The 16433-nt window shown below is 34.0% G+C and overlaps 1 annotated feature.

Moving 5' to 3' along the window:
- Positions 811-1362: an enhancer, noted in NCBI's record as "OCT4-NANOG hESC enhancer chr13:69581239-69581790 (GRCh37/hg19 assembly coordinates)". NCBI's record gives its function as "activates a minimal SCP1, AML or CMV promoter by ChIP-STARR-seq in primed H9 embryonic stem cells {active_cell/tissue: H9 hESC(primed)}" and the evidence as "EXISTENCE:reporter gene assay evidence [ECO:0000049][PMID:30033119]".

Below are 16433 nucleotides of genomic sequence, written 5' to 3' on the forward strand. Positions count from 1 at the left end.
GCTCTTGGAATCTGTTGTTCCATATGAACAAGCCTGTGAAAACCTGCTGCAGAATGACATACCATATGGAGGACTCATTTTCCTCAGCAGTTCCAAAAGAAACCATGATAATAGACACATTATTTGGAATAATTGTAATAAATTGCAGGTGAAAATAATACCTTTTTGTTAAAAATGGTATATATTTATATAGTAAGCTTAAGTATTGGATACTAATCAAAGAGAAATATTGGATACTAAAATAGTGGATACTAAAACGAAAGAGAAAAGATTTAACTACTTATTTACTCATTTGCAAATTAGTAAATTAAAGTTAGCTGCCTCATAGGATAAAAGTTTCTGGAACATCGTAACAACTTCATTATAGCCACTACTTTGTTAAAGTAAACAAAAAATTTAAGTATAAGTTAATTATTTTGTAATAAAGGGGTTACCAGTCTATTCAGTTGTATAATTTGTATTTTTCCACATGACTTCATTCAAGAATGTGCTGAAGATCCCTGATAATATTGCTTTTAATCTGTTTAATTTCCATAATACACATAAATAATGCAATCATTTATAGTATATGAAAATAAGAACTTTCAGAAAACTGAGAATTAAATTAACATATATAAACAACAAACATAAGATTTATTCTTTACCTGCAATAAAATTTGCACCATAAAAATATTTCACAAATATTTTATATATTATAATCTTTTAAAAATTATATTTTTGTAGAAAAATACTAATTTTTTCATTAGTACTAAATCTAAATTTTATTTTTCAAGTTTCATAAACATGTTTTCTAATTTGAAAATATTTTGGAAAGGAATGTTTTGCCAAATGATTTTCATCAATTGCAGATATATTATTCTGTTCTCATGCTGCTAATGAAGACATATGTGAAACTTGATAATTTATAAACAAAAGAGGTTTAATTGACTCACAATTCAGCATGACTGGGGAGGCCTCAGGAAACTTACAATCGTGGCAGAATCAAACATGTCTTTCTTCACATGGCAGCCGTAAAGAAAAGTACCCAGCAAAAAGGGAGAAGAGCCCCTTACAAAGCTATCAGATCTCATGAGAACTCACTATCAGGAGAACAGCAGGAGGGTAACTGCCCTCATGATTCAATGACATCCTACCGGGTCCCTCCCATGACACGTAGAGATTATGGAAACTACAATTCAAGATGAGATTTGTGTGGGGTCACAGCCAAACCATAGCAGATTGATTGGCATTTTTTGGGTGAGCAGTATATTCAAAGTGGTCTTACTGTTTTATAGAGCAATGCTATTTCATTCTTGCTAAATTTTACTAATATCATGTAAAGTAATGATGATGGACATTAAAATAAACTAATAATTACAAAAGAGCAATAAATTATAAAAAAGGACATATCATACAAAGAAGAATGCAGGTTCTTATTAAATTGTGCATGGTGGTAAATTAGGCTTCTCAATATTTCTGTGAGCATGTCTTCTTTCATTAGAATCAGTTTTGTTTACGTTACTGGTGAATGCTCTTCTTACAGCCTCTGTCATGTAAGCAGATTGAAAAAATGGGGGTGGAGATTGATAAAACTTAGTTACCATGGTAAATTACAATCTTACCAAACTAAAAGTGAATAAAAAATATACAACTCAATACACTCCATTATTCCTATTCTGTTTGTTTCTTCATCACTATAATGAAATGTTGTGTACTAGAATTTGTTATAAGCAGAAGAAAAAAATTCAATAAACACTCTAAAAAGATAATTAAATTTTTTTAAAGATTAAATTACAGATAATGTTAGGACATTATATGAATAGTAAAAATATAAAATTTCTCTTTAATTTATTATAAGCAATGTATTCTATTTCCTGAGTAAATATGTTTATAAGATCAATAATGTACTGGTACTTCTTTATGAGATTAAAGAAATACTCTGATAAAAATTTTAGTGATGGAAACCTGTAAACAGCAACTGACGTTTGTTTTCTTATTAGTATAATTTAACTTACTAAGAAGAAAAATTAAATTTGTAATAAAATATTGTGATTAAAGAGCTTGACAGAAATAAGAAAATAAAAAATACTTATTTTATAACCTAAAATGAACACTTATTCTTCTAAGTTAATTTAAAATGTATTTTGACTCTGCTATTCTAGACTTAAGTTTATTTTATTATGATAGAACTTGTAATAGCTAAGTAAGTGAAAGTACAATAAATAAATAACTGGGTTTGTTGACCAGCCCTGACTACTATAACTAGCTAAGTGACAATTCCCTAGGCGTCTAACAGAGACTGGGGGCCTATAAGCAATATCTTTTGTAGCATTATCAATCTAAAAATTTTAGTAGCAAAAGCAAATTTAGAGCAGTGGTTTTCAAACCGTAGTGCATAGAACTGTCCATGGTGCAGCAGGGTGTGAGAACAACATTGGAAACGGAAAGCCAAGTAAACAGGACTTCTTGTCCACCCCTTTTTCAACCAGACAAAGATCCACTTCTCTCCTCTTTTATATAACAGTAGTTCTCATCAAACTTTGCTTAAAGTAAAAATACATGTAAATGCGTATGTGTTTGTGTGTGTGTATTGCTTTAAAACGCTTCATACAGGCATGATTGATTCAATTTGTGTTTAGCAAGTTGAATTTTTTTTTTTTTTTTTTTTTTTTTTTTTTGAGACGGAGTCTCACTCTGTCGCCCAGGCTGGAGTGCAGTGGTGCGATCTCAGCTCACTGCAACCTCCGCCTCCCGGGTTGACGCCATTCTCCTGCCTCAGCCTGCCGAGTAGCTGGGACTACAGGCGCCGGCCACAACGCCCGGCTAATTATTTGTATTTTAGTAGAGATGGGGTTTCATCGTGTTAGACAGGATGGTCTCGATCTCCTGACCTCGTGATCCACCCACCTGGGCCTTCCAAAGTGCTGGGATTACAGGCGTGAGCCACCGAGCCTGGCCAGCAAGTTGAATTGTTAAATCAGTAAGTTATAAGAAAAATTTACAGACTTACATATTGTAATTACTTTTTAAAACTATTATGATTACATAAAAATGTATCTCTTATGTAAAAAATTAACATTTTTACCTTCTAGATTTGGTTGTGACATATGTTGAATATTGAACATTTTCGTTTTTTTTCCTTAATTTTTGTCTTCCAACTGTGCCAAGAAAATTTCAAATTTTCTATTTTTCATGAAACCAAGTTAGACATATGGCAGTAGTATTATAGGAAATGAGTGGGTAGCTAGTATTTGTTATTATGTTTATTCTGAAAGGAATTGAATATTCACTTAATTTTGAGTATATATTATTGATGTGCTTATATACTGAGACAATGTAATAGAATAAAAAACAAATTGTTTATTGATAGAAATCATTTGCATTAATACAGATTCTAAATTTCACATTAGTTTTTCAGTCATAGAAATTATATTACCATGTAATTTGACAAAGTTTCTTAACCTTGTCATAAGCTTGTTTCAACTAAAAAACTAAAGAAATGAGGGTTTTAGCTAAGTATACTTAAATAATATGTGGACATTATACCTCCAATATAAAATTATATTTACAAAAATATTTATTATGTTTATTATCAGCTAGTCTTCTGGCACCCTCTAAAAAATTCTAAGTGTAACATAGAATATAAAACTAAAATATACTTCAATAATATTTTAACATTACATACAGTTGTATGATTTGTAAAATCAATTCTTTGTTAGAACATTGACAAATGAAAGGGTATAAAATGAGCACATCACAAAATTAAATAATTTCATTATCAATTAATAAATATCAACATCTGTAATTAATGTTTGAAAATAACATTATAAAATGGAGAGCTGTAGGTAGTTGTCAAAAAATTATCCAAAATTATTTAAAAATTACTCTGCTTCAGATGACTTAGTTATTTGCTGTTTATTATTTGTTATTTGTCATTTGTGATTAAGGAACTTTTATGTAGAGAGAGATTTAAAAGTGTCTTGGTAATAAGAATGCCAAAGAATCAGAAGCCTAAAGTAATAAATTCAGTATTATTTCTCTTCAATAATAGAAGCAAGATAGTATTTAGTCATGGCATGAAACTGAAGACATAGAACGTCACTTATTAAATAGGTCGCTAAAGATGTTATGCTGTGAACAGATGCACATTGCACTCATTTGTTTTGTATAGTATTCTGAATAATAGACTGCTTCATTAAGCAAAACTCTCTGTGAATGTGTGTGTGTTTCTATGTGTGGTTATTAAGATAAATGAAATCATATAAACTTGTTACAGAGCTTAAAAATACTTTGTACATGCAAAAATCTTTTATAATTTTCTTTAAGGAGTAGGAAAGAATAAAAAATGTAAAGAAAAGATACCAAAAAGTCATTAAGAAGCTACCTACCACAGCAGAATATTGTCACAAAAGTAATTACAGCTCTTTGAAAATGCGTATGAAGAGATGGTGGGTGTAGGAGTATGGAGCAGAAAGTGAGTGCTCCAATTTATATCTCTTTCAATACTGTGGTTCAGAGGTGGTTGAATGGTGCTTTGAAGTTTAGCTTCATTCAAACTTATTATTAGTCTCTTAATCTGCAATAAAGTTTAAGGTCCCTTAACCCTTAATTTACAAAGATTAAGGTCTCTTAAACCTTAGTCGCCTAATCTACAATAATCCCCTCCCAAACAAACATACTTTTGTTCTTCCATTCTTTCCTAATTCCTCCCTTCCCTCTGCCTTCTTTCTATCCTTCTGCTGTCTGTCTCTGTCTCTGTCTCTCTCTCATTCTCTCTCTCTCTCTGCACAATATAGTTTGGAATTTAAAAAGCCGTTGTCTTTTACGATATCTTTTATTCTGGAAGAAAAATCTCTCAACTGATTTCAATAAGGGTGATCCAGGAAAGACAAAAACATACATATATTTATTGCACAGGATTGAGGAAGAATTTATCAAACAAAAAGCTCTCCAACTGGTCAGTATCTCACTGAAATAAATAAACCTTTCATTGACAGAGGAGAGCTGTGCTATAAAGGAGAAATACAGAGGCACATCTTTTAAAAATTCACTTATTCATTTAACAGAGGTGACAAAACCCATAGAGAGCTGGAATGGAATTGAGGACAAAATTAGTTTAAAAATGCAAATCTTGTTTTTAGAATAACTTCTTCAGAAATAGAAGAAACACAAAGAAGCAAAATTTCCATACGTGGGTTTCCAGATACTGGCTCACCCATGTATTATCCACAGATTGCTAGGTTTCTCCACCAGAAATGAAAATTTGTTTCAATCCTCTTTTAATATAAAATATGGGAGAAAACTTTTCAGAAAACCAAAATACTTTTTAAGTAATACAAACATCTTTGTTTTTTTTTTTTTTGAGACAGAGTCTCGCTCTGTCATCCAGGCTGAAGTGCAGTGGCGCGAGCTCCGCTCACTGCAAGCTCCGCCTCCCGGGTTCACGCCATTCTCCTGCCTCAGCCTCCTGAGTAGCTGGGACTACAGGCGCCCAACAACATGCCCGGCTAATTTTTTGTATTTTTTTAGTAGAGACGGAGTTTCACCGTGCTAGCCAGGATGGTCTTGATCTCCTGACCTCGTGATCCGCCCGCCTCGGCCTTCCAAAGTGCTGGGATTACAGGCGTGAGCCACCGCGCCCGGCCCGGCCAAACATCTTTTATTTTACCTAGTTTGGGACTTGCTTTCCTTGATTATGCTCAACAAAGGGAAGAATTGTGAAGAAAAATCTAAAACTTGGATCAATGTATTGTCGGGGACACACCCAAGTACCTCCCTTTTGTATAAAGATCAATTAATGTATCACACATTATATATGCATGAATAAATCTGAGAAAAGAAACGTGAAATAATTCCTAAGAAATTAAACGCAAATGTGATCAAATCGATGGCAAATAAGAACAGAGAAAAGAGCAGACAAAAATTTGTAATGGGGAAGTCCTAACAAAGATAAGATCAGTTTTCTCTACCAAAGAATAGGAGGGATACCTTAGTGCAGATAATTAAAATTAATATAAACACAGGGAGAAACAAGACATTTTCACCGTGAAAACTATGCACATTGCGTTGTACATTGCAATTGGTATTTATGTTAACTATGACAGGTATGCTTTTATTTTTTTCATGAATATTGGCTATGGTATTATTTGAAATCAGGATATGACCTCACAAATGATAAAAATTTGGTCATAAATTACCTCTATTTACAAGGTGAATTAAGAATAAAGCAAATGTAAAAATTCAGAGATTGAAATATCATGTAAATATGTGTGTTCTAATAATTTTGAAACAGTACAACTTACAAAGAATTGACAGGAGAAAAGGTGGCATTTGGGGGCTAAAATTAATTAGCTGATTTTCTGATCTGTAGTAGCTTGGATTTCTTTAAAGCGTATCTCAGAATGCATAACCTAAACTTATATGACAATTTTAAGATGGTAGTAGATTGATTTGAAAATGGCTCCAATACTTAACGTCTCTTTGAATCTATGTCCTTTGCAATCTCTCTTTGCATATGTGCCCTTAGTAATGTGACATTACAGATCTAACCATCTAACCAGGGATAGAGATGATTTCTGCATCCTCTTGATTATTGATAATTCTTGCAATTTAATGTGATCAACAGAATGAGGTGAAAACACAGTCGCAAGAAATGCGGGCTTGAGGTTCAGGAGGACTTCCCCTGAGAATCCTGCCACCACATTGTGAACAAGTCAAGGCTACCATGGTAGCGTATGACAGAAGATGGAGACCAATCAACAGCAATCTGGCCCATGATTATGTAAACCAACAGAATCAAGATTAGCAGAGCTAACTATCTGTTTCACTGTTGATTGCAGAGGCATGAGAAAACACATCCTAGAGGATAACTAATACCCAACTGATACAAACATAGATGAATCACTTTTGAGTCACTTTGTTTCAGTGTCATTTGCTAAGCAGTAATATTGACCTTAAATAAAGAAAGGGTAAGACTAAACATAACTTTTCTATTTGATGACTTAATTTTAATTATTAAAAAATATTTTCACCATATATCTCACAAACAACACCTGACTCTACGGTATATAACAAAGACACCTAAAAAAATAAGAATTTTTAAAACTTGAGAAATATAGGTGAGCTTGACTAGTAAGTATTAAAAAAGTTAAAATAAAAATAATAATCTGGTTTTGATCAAATATATGTACAAAATAATGTAATATTGAATAAAATATATCAAAAACTTGAAAAATAGAGAAAAATACAATGATCCCCTCACCTAAATCCAAAAATGAGACACATTCTGAAGTATTATTTACACACCACTTTAAATTAATTTGTAGATATCCTGACATTCATCCATGACTAAACGAGAATGTTTTAAATAACAGTATACTTGCTTATATTGCAACAATAATATTATTCATAACAAAATTAACAAATTATCAAATATTGCCTTGTATCTTATTCATATTCAACATTTTTCAAAACATCTTACGTAAGTGTTTTTAATTTTATTTTATTTTGTGTTTTGTTACAGGATATTGTCAAGCAACAATGATTTGTCCAACTTTTGTACCTCTTTAGTCTCTGAATCTACAATAATTCCCTCCCAAACAAACACACTTTTTTCCTTTCATTCTTTCCTACTTCCTCCCTTCTCTCTGCATTTCTATCCTGCTCTCTGTCTTTCTCTTTCTCCCTCTCTCTCTGCATAATGTAGTTTGCAATTTAAGAAGCCATTGTCTTCTACAATATCTTTTGTTCTGGAAGAAAAATCCCTCAACTGTTTTCGATAAGGGTGATCCAAAAAAGACAAAAATGTATCCTGCTTTACACTAAAATGCTCAAGGTAAATTAATTATAAATATTGATACTTAAACTAATTAATGCCTGGTAGAAATAAGTGCTACCCTTTTTATATTAAACTCTACCATCTTTGCTCAAAATCTTCCCAGGAATAAACATATCACACATTTGGTATGTATTTTGAGTTACCCACAGATATTCCTTTTCTCCTAGGCCTTAATTCTTAACCTTAGACTCCGGAAAAAAAGAAAAAGAAAAAAAAACATTCGGCCCTCCTCTGAAAATTGATACCACCTGTACCTATTTAATGGGGAAAGATTTACTTTCCAAACAGAATTGTAAGATTACATTCACACAAGGGCGAGCAATTCTTGAAATTCAGGAGATTTATCTGGTCATATTCAAGTTGTGTCTGCTCCTTTATCTTTGAATCATATCCCAGATAAACACCTTCTGGGATATGATTCAAAACATCTTAAAATATTAGCATCACATCTAGCATGCTATGGGCTAAAAATTCCACAGACTTAGGAAAAATAATTAGAGAAGAACCCATTAATGGATAGATTCTACCAAATGATTTCCCAAACATCCCTAATATCACCTGAACCCCAAAGCAGAAGGACACACATCTGTATTTGAAGACTTTATATTCAGAAGTGTTCTGGTACATTGTGTTAGTCTTTTAACCACCCCTGTCCTCCCAGTGAGGAAACCACATGAGCAGTGATATTGATTTATTTCAGAACTCAGGGCCATCAACAAAACTGTTATTCCTTACTTCTTGGAAATAAACTAAAATACAATTCTCTCATGAATTCCACCTGAAACCACCTGTTTCTCTGTAGTGTATTCTTGTACGGCATTTTTCAGTGTGCTTCCAAACTAGAACAGTCAACAGCTCTTTCCCTTCACCTGGGGAGGACAATGACATGTGGGTATTCATATTCCCAGAATTTACCAACCCCTGATCCATCAATAATTTTCTCCATGTCATCAGTCAAGACAAAAGATGTAAATTTCATTTCAGATTCAGTTCTGACGTAATACATAGATGACTACCTACATTGTGCAGAGAATAAAGAAAACTACATAAAGAACTTTATTTACTTATTCTCTTAGTATATAGGGAACATAAAGTTTAAAAAGGTAAATTACAATTTTGCCAAAATGCAGTCCCTTATTTAGGGCATGACTGTATGAGGAAAGAAAAAGCCCTCTTTTATGATTGACTAAGGACTACCCAAACTTATCCTAGAATGCTTACAAAACAAAAACAAAATAGATTTCTAGGTTTAAATGGATATTGCAGATAATGAATGTCAACTTTTTCTGAGGTTAAAGTGCTACTTTATATGTTGACTAATGGTTTAAACATAGTTTTAATGGCACGGAACTCCTCACCATTAGGTCAAGCCTTTTAGAGCCCAAATAGTGCCCCACCCAGGAAGGAGAGGATCTCACATTTTCATGGACCTCCCTCTGCTTCCTCCTCCTCCTATGGCAAAATGGGACTTGTGAAAAGTAATAAAGAGGTTCTGTAGTAATGTGCTCCATAGGGTGCTATTCTCTCTCACACTAGGTTTAACAAGATTATCAATGTCTCATTGAGTCAATCAAGTAAAGAGTCTGTGAGGTCTCTTCAGCCCTCTCTATCTAAACAAGTAAAAATGAGGTGCAGTACTGATGGGACTGTGTGTGGCACTCTCATCTATCCCCCAGTGCAGGAATGTTGATGGCCACAATCTGCAGTATTACCAGAAAGCCTTTACTTTTGAGCAGGGTTCCCAAATAACAGGGATGCCCTCTGGGCCCTCCAACAAACCACCCAGGTTCTCTTTCCTTCAGGGGCTCACTGATCTACATTTGCCATTTGAGTTATAGGTTCCAGCAACCTCTCAGTTTTCTAATTGGAGCCTATGACAGAGGGACACTGGCAAGGGTTAGCAGAGCCCATCAGGTTTCTGGACCTGTAATCCCATGGACTTGTAAGCTCCCGGAGTCAGCTGAAAGGTAAAAGCCTTTTGATAATCATGTGTTTAGCTATTATTGGGCCTTGGCGGAGGCTGAACACATGAGCCTACTGAAATCTATTCTACTGAATTGACTACAAGAAGATGGTATCTTAAGTTGCAGTTAAAATATAAAGAGTGGTTATATGTAGAGTCTCCGAGCATGTTATATGGAAATTCAAATAAACTCAAGAAGAAAGACCATGATCATATAACAAAACTGCTTTGTTTTCTGTAGTCAAAAGTTTTCTAAGGAAACCTAGACTGACAATACATTTTCATTTCATTTGTGGAGCCCCTGGGAGATGGAAAATTCCCAGTTAGATCCTACAAACCACTTGTTTCTTCATAACCTCACCTGTCATGACTATTCTTCACTCTGCTTGATACAGACTAGCAACCTTGCTGTTCCTCAGAGTAAATGGTTGTGCTCAGGCCTCAGGGCTATTGCACTGGTAATACCCTTGCCTGGAAGAGTGTTCCCTACATACTGACATGGCACCTCCTGAACTTCCTACAGATGTTTTCTCAAATGCCACCATGTCAGGGCTTTATTTTGTCTCTTTTATCTATCATTTGCACTTATAACCTTCTAAGATACTTATAATTTACTTTTTATTACAGATTACAGTGAGTTTATAAAATATTTGTTCTTTAATTCTAGGAGTTTTTAAAATTTTCTTTTTTTCTTGTTAATAACTGGAGCATGCAAAGTACATGAAATGATAATCTGGCAGCTTAACAGCCATTCAATATATAAGTGGAATGAGTGTGACATGGAGCATCTCACTTTCAAATTCTATTCTCATATAAAGTATTAATTCAATTTGTTCACAGATGTTTTAGGCTATGTTATTAAAAGAAACAGCAATCTAATCATATGTTTTCTCTGGATTGTTCAATCTATAAGCCACAATCAATTTTTGAAATTTTAAAATTTTCAGGTTGGATATTAAAATACAGCAGGGGCATGACTTATCCATGGTGAATTCAATATAGCTCACATATGGGTCAAAATAAAGGAAAATATAAAATATGTTATTTAGCATAATGAGCATAGAGTACTTTGAAGATAGTGAAATGAAAGAAAGCGTTACAAAAGTAGCTTAAGATAAATTTAGAAGTTCAGAATTGAGGGAAAACTATTTAAAGATGTGAGAGACTATCATTTTAAACCTAAGGAGAAAGAGTCATTAAAGAAATTGAATGTAAAGATTCAAGGAGAAGAAATAAATGATGCAGAAGATTCCTTAAAAATGTGTGGGAAAATGAGCTATGAAATACAAATGCAAGCATTAACTCCCATCACATGTTCCTCAGGGGGGAAATTAAAGAAAAAAAGTTAGTGTGTGTGAATGTGTCTTGCTGTACACCAGCATGCAGAAAGTGAGACTGTGGCCACCTGGATTGCTCACATGAAAAATTCCCTCAGAGTGTGGTGGTGGTGGTGGTATAGTTGTTGGTGTGTGTGTGTGTGTGTGTGACAGAGAGAGAGAGTGTGTGTTTATGGTAGTTCTAAGGGGTTGGAGAGGCTTGTAAGTGCATTGATAGGCTTGCCATAATAAAGAAGAAGAGTGTAACAGCTTTAAAATAATTCCCTGGTGTAGAGATGATGCGATTTACTAAAATCATCAAAATCTTAGTAATGTATTAATAATATTGCTTTGTTTTTCTTAAAATTTGAATGTAGAAATATTCTCTATGCTTTTGAATAAAATCCAACTTTACTGAACAATACATTGTAATCAAAATATTGACACATTATTATTAAAAATGTCATCTCGATGTAAAGGTGATTTCAATGACTGGTTCAATAAATAATCAATAAAATGTGCTATTGGGGGAACCCACCCCCAATATTTCCATGTAGGTTCTTTCTATTTTCCATAAGTGTCAGCCAGCTGAGAAATAAAGAGAGACAGTATAAAGAGAGGAATTTTACAGCTGGGCCACCAAGAGTGACATCACATATTGGTAGGACTGTGATGTCTGCCTGAGTCTCAGACCAGCAAGTTTTTATTAAGGGTTTCAAAAGGGGAGGGGGTGAAAGAACAGGGAGTAGGTACAAATATCACATGCTTCAAAGGGCAAAAAGCAGAACTACTAATAAGGGTCTAACAAAGATCACATGCTTCTGAGGGAACAGGACAAAGGGCAAAAGCAGAACTACTGATAAGGGTTTATGTTCAGTGGTGCACGTATTGTCTTGATAAACATCTTAAACAACAGACAACAGGGTTCGAGAGCAGAGAACCGGTCTGACCACAAATTTACTAGGACAGAGTTGTTCCCCACCCTAGTAAGCCTAAGGGTACTGCAGGAGACCAGGGCCTTTCTCAGTCCTTATCTCAACCACGTAAGACAGACGTTCCCAGAGCGGCCGTTTATAGACCTCCCTGCAGGAGCACATCCCTTTCTCAGGGTATTAATATTAATGTTCCTTGCTAGGAAAAGAATTTAGCGATACCTCTCCTACTTGCACATCCGTTTACAGGCCCTCTACAAGAGAAAAATATGGCTGTTTTTGCCCGACCCTGCAGACAGTCAGACCTTATGGTTGTCTTCCCTTGTTCCCTAAAAATTGCTGTTATTCTGTTCTTTTCCAAGGTGAACTGATTTCATATTGTGCAAACACACATGTTTGACAATCAATTTGTACAGTTAACACAATTATCACAGTGGTCCTGAGGTGATGTACATCCTCAGCTTATGAAGACAACAGGATTAAGAGATTAAAGACAGGCATAAGAAATTATAAAAGTATTATTTGGGAACTGATAAATGTCCATGAAATCCTCACAATTTATGTTCTTCTGCCATGGCTCCAGCTGGTCCTTCCATTCAGGGTCCCTGATTTCCCACAACAATATGCAAAAAAATTTTTTTTTAATTTTCTCTACATCGGACCAATTTGTAAGATATTCTTGCTTTGAAATTCAGAGCCACCCAGAGTAGCTCAGAAATCCATGTTTCTATGTTACAAATGGGTTTTCCTAGTCTCAAAGAAGAAGAATTTGGCAATGAACTTGACTAAAAAATATGCTTTAATGCACTTTAGAGGCAGCAAAAATAATAATTGCAGGCTTTATATAACTTCTTACAAGCTCAAAACTATCACAAATCATTAAGCACTGTCTTTTTAGTGAATCGCATAAAGCACAAAAGTTATTTTACACATAGTAATGTTCTCATTAAATTGTAGTTCCTAATAAACAAAGGTAATAAAAAGGAACATTCTTATATACACATTATTACATGTCTCTGACACTATTCAGTACTTGGCAAAGTAAAGATTATTCAAGAAAAATGTTAAGCCAGTAGCAAGTCTACTTTCTTGTATTACTAACCAAATCCTGATTCTCTTTAATTTCAGTGAATATTTTTCTTATCTTTCCTTTCCGATTTAATAATCTGAAAATGTTTATTGTGAAAGAGGTATTTCTGCTTTTAACAGAGGAAAATAAAAAACAATAACATAGTAAATCTTAAAAAAAAAACTAACATCTTTTGCCCAGCCTTAAATCTCATTCAGTTTTCATCCTATGAGGGTTCTGTTTTATTGTTAGCATATATTTTAAACCTGATATTCATTTTCTGTGGCAATACTAACTTGATAACAATGCCAAAATTGTCTTAATTTTCTCCTTCATATAATGACAGTTGACCCACTTACTTAAAATCAACAAAATAATTAGTAAGGTTTTTTCTCCATTCTACTTCTTAAAATTATCTTTTTTAGTTGGCTTTTGTGTTTATCTTATTTGCTATAGCTTGGTCATGAATATCAGGACAAATACAAATAGATTGAAATTCACCATTATAAGAAGGTAAGAAAACTTCCAGTCTAATAAATAGTATCAAAAATAATGAACCAACTCCTTAAAAGTTATGCTTATAACCACATAAGGAAAACAAAATGTTTTCTTTAGGAAACTAAATGTTATCCAAGATACTGACAGCAATAATATTGGGAGAGAGCCACGTGTTACATAAACAGAAAAAAGTGACTACAGTGCTTTTTGGTACGCTCTTCAGTAATGTCAACCTTAAATTGTAGTTTCTGTGAATAACATTTCCACAGAGCTAGAGGCCAATTTTTCTTGAATGTTTTGTTACTATTGATAATTAACAATTACTGAGAGTTTGGGATGCAATTAGGTACTGCAATAAAGATCAGCTATTCTGACAGCTCTCTAGTATAAAGTGATTATATAAATAGATTAGATTGAGGTAAAAGAAAGTAAAACTGAAAGGCTAGATGCATGCAAATTGAGTATGGGAAATTCTGTGAGAAAAAGAGTTTCTTGACTCATTTTCAAAACAAGTAAACATACATAGAAATAAAAGTCATTTATTTCATAAATACTTCCTTGACTATCCACTATGTGCCAATCAATGACCTAAGCACTAAGGAAAAGCTAAATCTCTTCACCCATTGAACTTACATGCCAGCAAAATACAGCAAGTACATTTTTAAAATAAAAGAAAAAAATATTTTTTAGATTATTTCTATGGGGAAAGAAAACGGTCCATTGTAACATAAATTGTCTTAGATATGAAGGGAGCTGGCATCATTTGAAAGAATGATCATTAGAACCTGAATGGACAGAAGCCAACAGTTCCATAAGGATCGGGAATAAGAGTGTTCCAGGCAAAAAGGATAACAAGAGAACATTTTCCGAGGCAAGAATGAGCTTGACATGCTTGAGAAGCTAAGATAACTCAGTATGGACTATCTGTAGTAAAGGACATGGTAATTGAAGATATTGGGGAAAGTGGCAAAGGTAAGATCATGTGGAGTCTCAAATGTCATCGTAAGGAGCTATAGTGGTGTGTTAAATTCATTAAGAAGGTGTTGGTGGATTTCAGACAAGAGAATGTTGAAATCTGATTGGCTTTTGTAAAAACAAAAAAATCGTACCATGTCATTTGTTTGTCATCACTGGAAACTGAATTTACCAGAAAATGAAAGCTTATGCTCTAAAGTGCCAGTCAATGTATTTTTATATGCAGAATTTAAATGAAAATCACCTTTGTTGGCCGGGTGTGTTGGCTCACGCCTATAATCCCAGCACTTTGGGAGGCCGAGGCGGGTGGATCACTTTAGGTCAGGGGTTCAAGACTGGCCTGACAAATATGGTGAAACCTGGTCTCTACTAAAAAATACAAAATTAGGTGTGGTGGCAGGCACCTGTAATACCAGCTATCTTGGCAGGCTGAGGCAGGAGAATCACTTGAATCTGGGAGGTGGAGGTTGCGGTGAGCCGAGATCGCGCCATTCCACTTCAGCCTGGGCAACAAGAGCGAGACTCTGTCTCAAAACAAAAGAAAACAAACAAACAAAAAACAGAAAATCACCTTTGTTATTATAAATCCCTAAAGATGGTATATTGGATTATTAATATTTTTAATTCAAAGTCCTTGTTAACCTATAGTATAAAATGGTGTGAGATATAAATTTACACATTATGCTTTTTTACACCTAACAGATAGTATAATATACTTAACCAGGAAAAGTAGAAATAAAAATAAATAGTTTGCAAGGAGGGTAAAGAATATTCTCAAACTTTAAAAGAACCAATTTCTATCAGTACCAGATTGCATACTTTCACAATTTTTAATGGGATATAATCTTTTAGTATGTTTTAAATCATTGAATCTAATCTTACATGATACAGAATATGGTAACTGCAATAAGCATGCTGAAAGTAAGATGATCCAAATATATAGCATTGAGTTGAAGCAGAGAGGAGGTAAACAGTGAGATTTCAGATACCAAAGGTTAGGGAATTGATGACTTACTTATATCTGCCCAATGTAACATTAGGAGAAATAGGAAAGGGTGTGTCTGTAGTTGTGGAATTTTTTTTTTCTTGATGCTTGCAGTTAACTCCTATTAGAGATAAACTCCGGTTAGTGATCATAGTTTTTAAGCAGAGATAACAAGGGAACACAAATTTACTAAGGGAAGCACTTTCCCCTGTAACATGCTTGACTAAGAGTCTGTAATGTAGAGAGAGAATGAGCTTCTGTGCTTCAAGTTGAAGCAGTCGTGAGTAGTGGGGTTTGAAGGGTAGTCTTTTGTTTTTGTTTTGTTTTTTTCCTCATTAGAGCAATGCACATCTAAACCACAACGAGATACCATTTCAGACCAGTCAGAATGGTGATTATTAAAAAGTAAAAAGAATAACATGCTGCTGAAGTTGTGGAAAGAAAGGAACACTTACACACGGCTGGTGGGAGTGTAAATTAGTTCAACCATTGTGGAAGACAGTGTGGTTATTCCTCATAGACCTAAAGACAGAAATACCATTTGATGCAGCAATCCCATTACTGGGTATATACCCAAAGGAATATAAATCATTCTATTATAAAAGCACATCCACACATATGTTCATTGCAGCACTATTCACAATAGCAAAGACATGAATAACAGTCTTAACACTGAGGCTCTAACATATATTACCAGTAGCCTGATAGTAGAAACTGGATCAAGACTCTTGCCTTCACATCCAACTCATTTTTTTTCAAATGATCTCAAGCTATATAATATTATGTTAAGATAGAAGAATAAGGAGAATACCTATATTATGAAGTGAAAAACCAGTCTTTTGAGTTTTAAATTTAAAAAGAGCAAAGTATTTGACTGTG

This window comes from Homo sapiens, chromosome 13, assembly GCF_000001405.40.
Source record: "Homo sapiens chromosome 13, GRCh38.p14 Primary Assembly".
NCBI classification, from domain to species: Eukaryota; Metazoa; Chordata; class Mammalia; order Primates; family Hominidae; genus Homo; species Homo sapiens.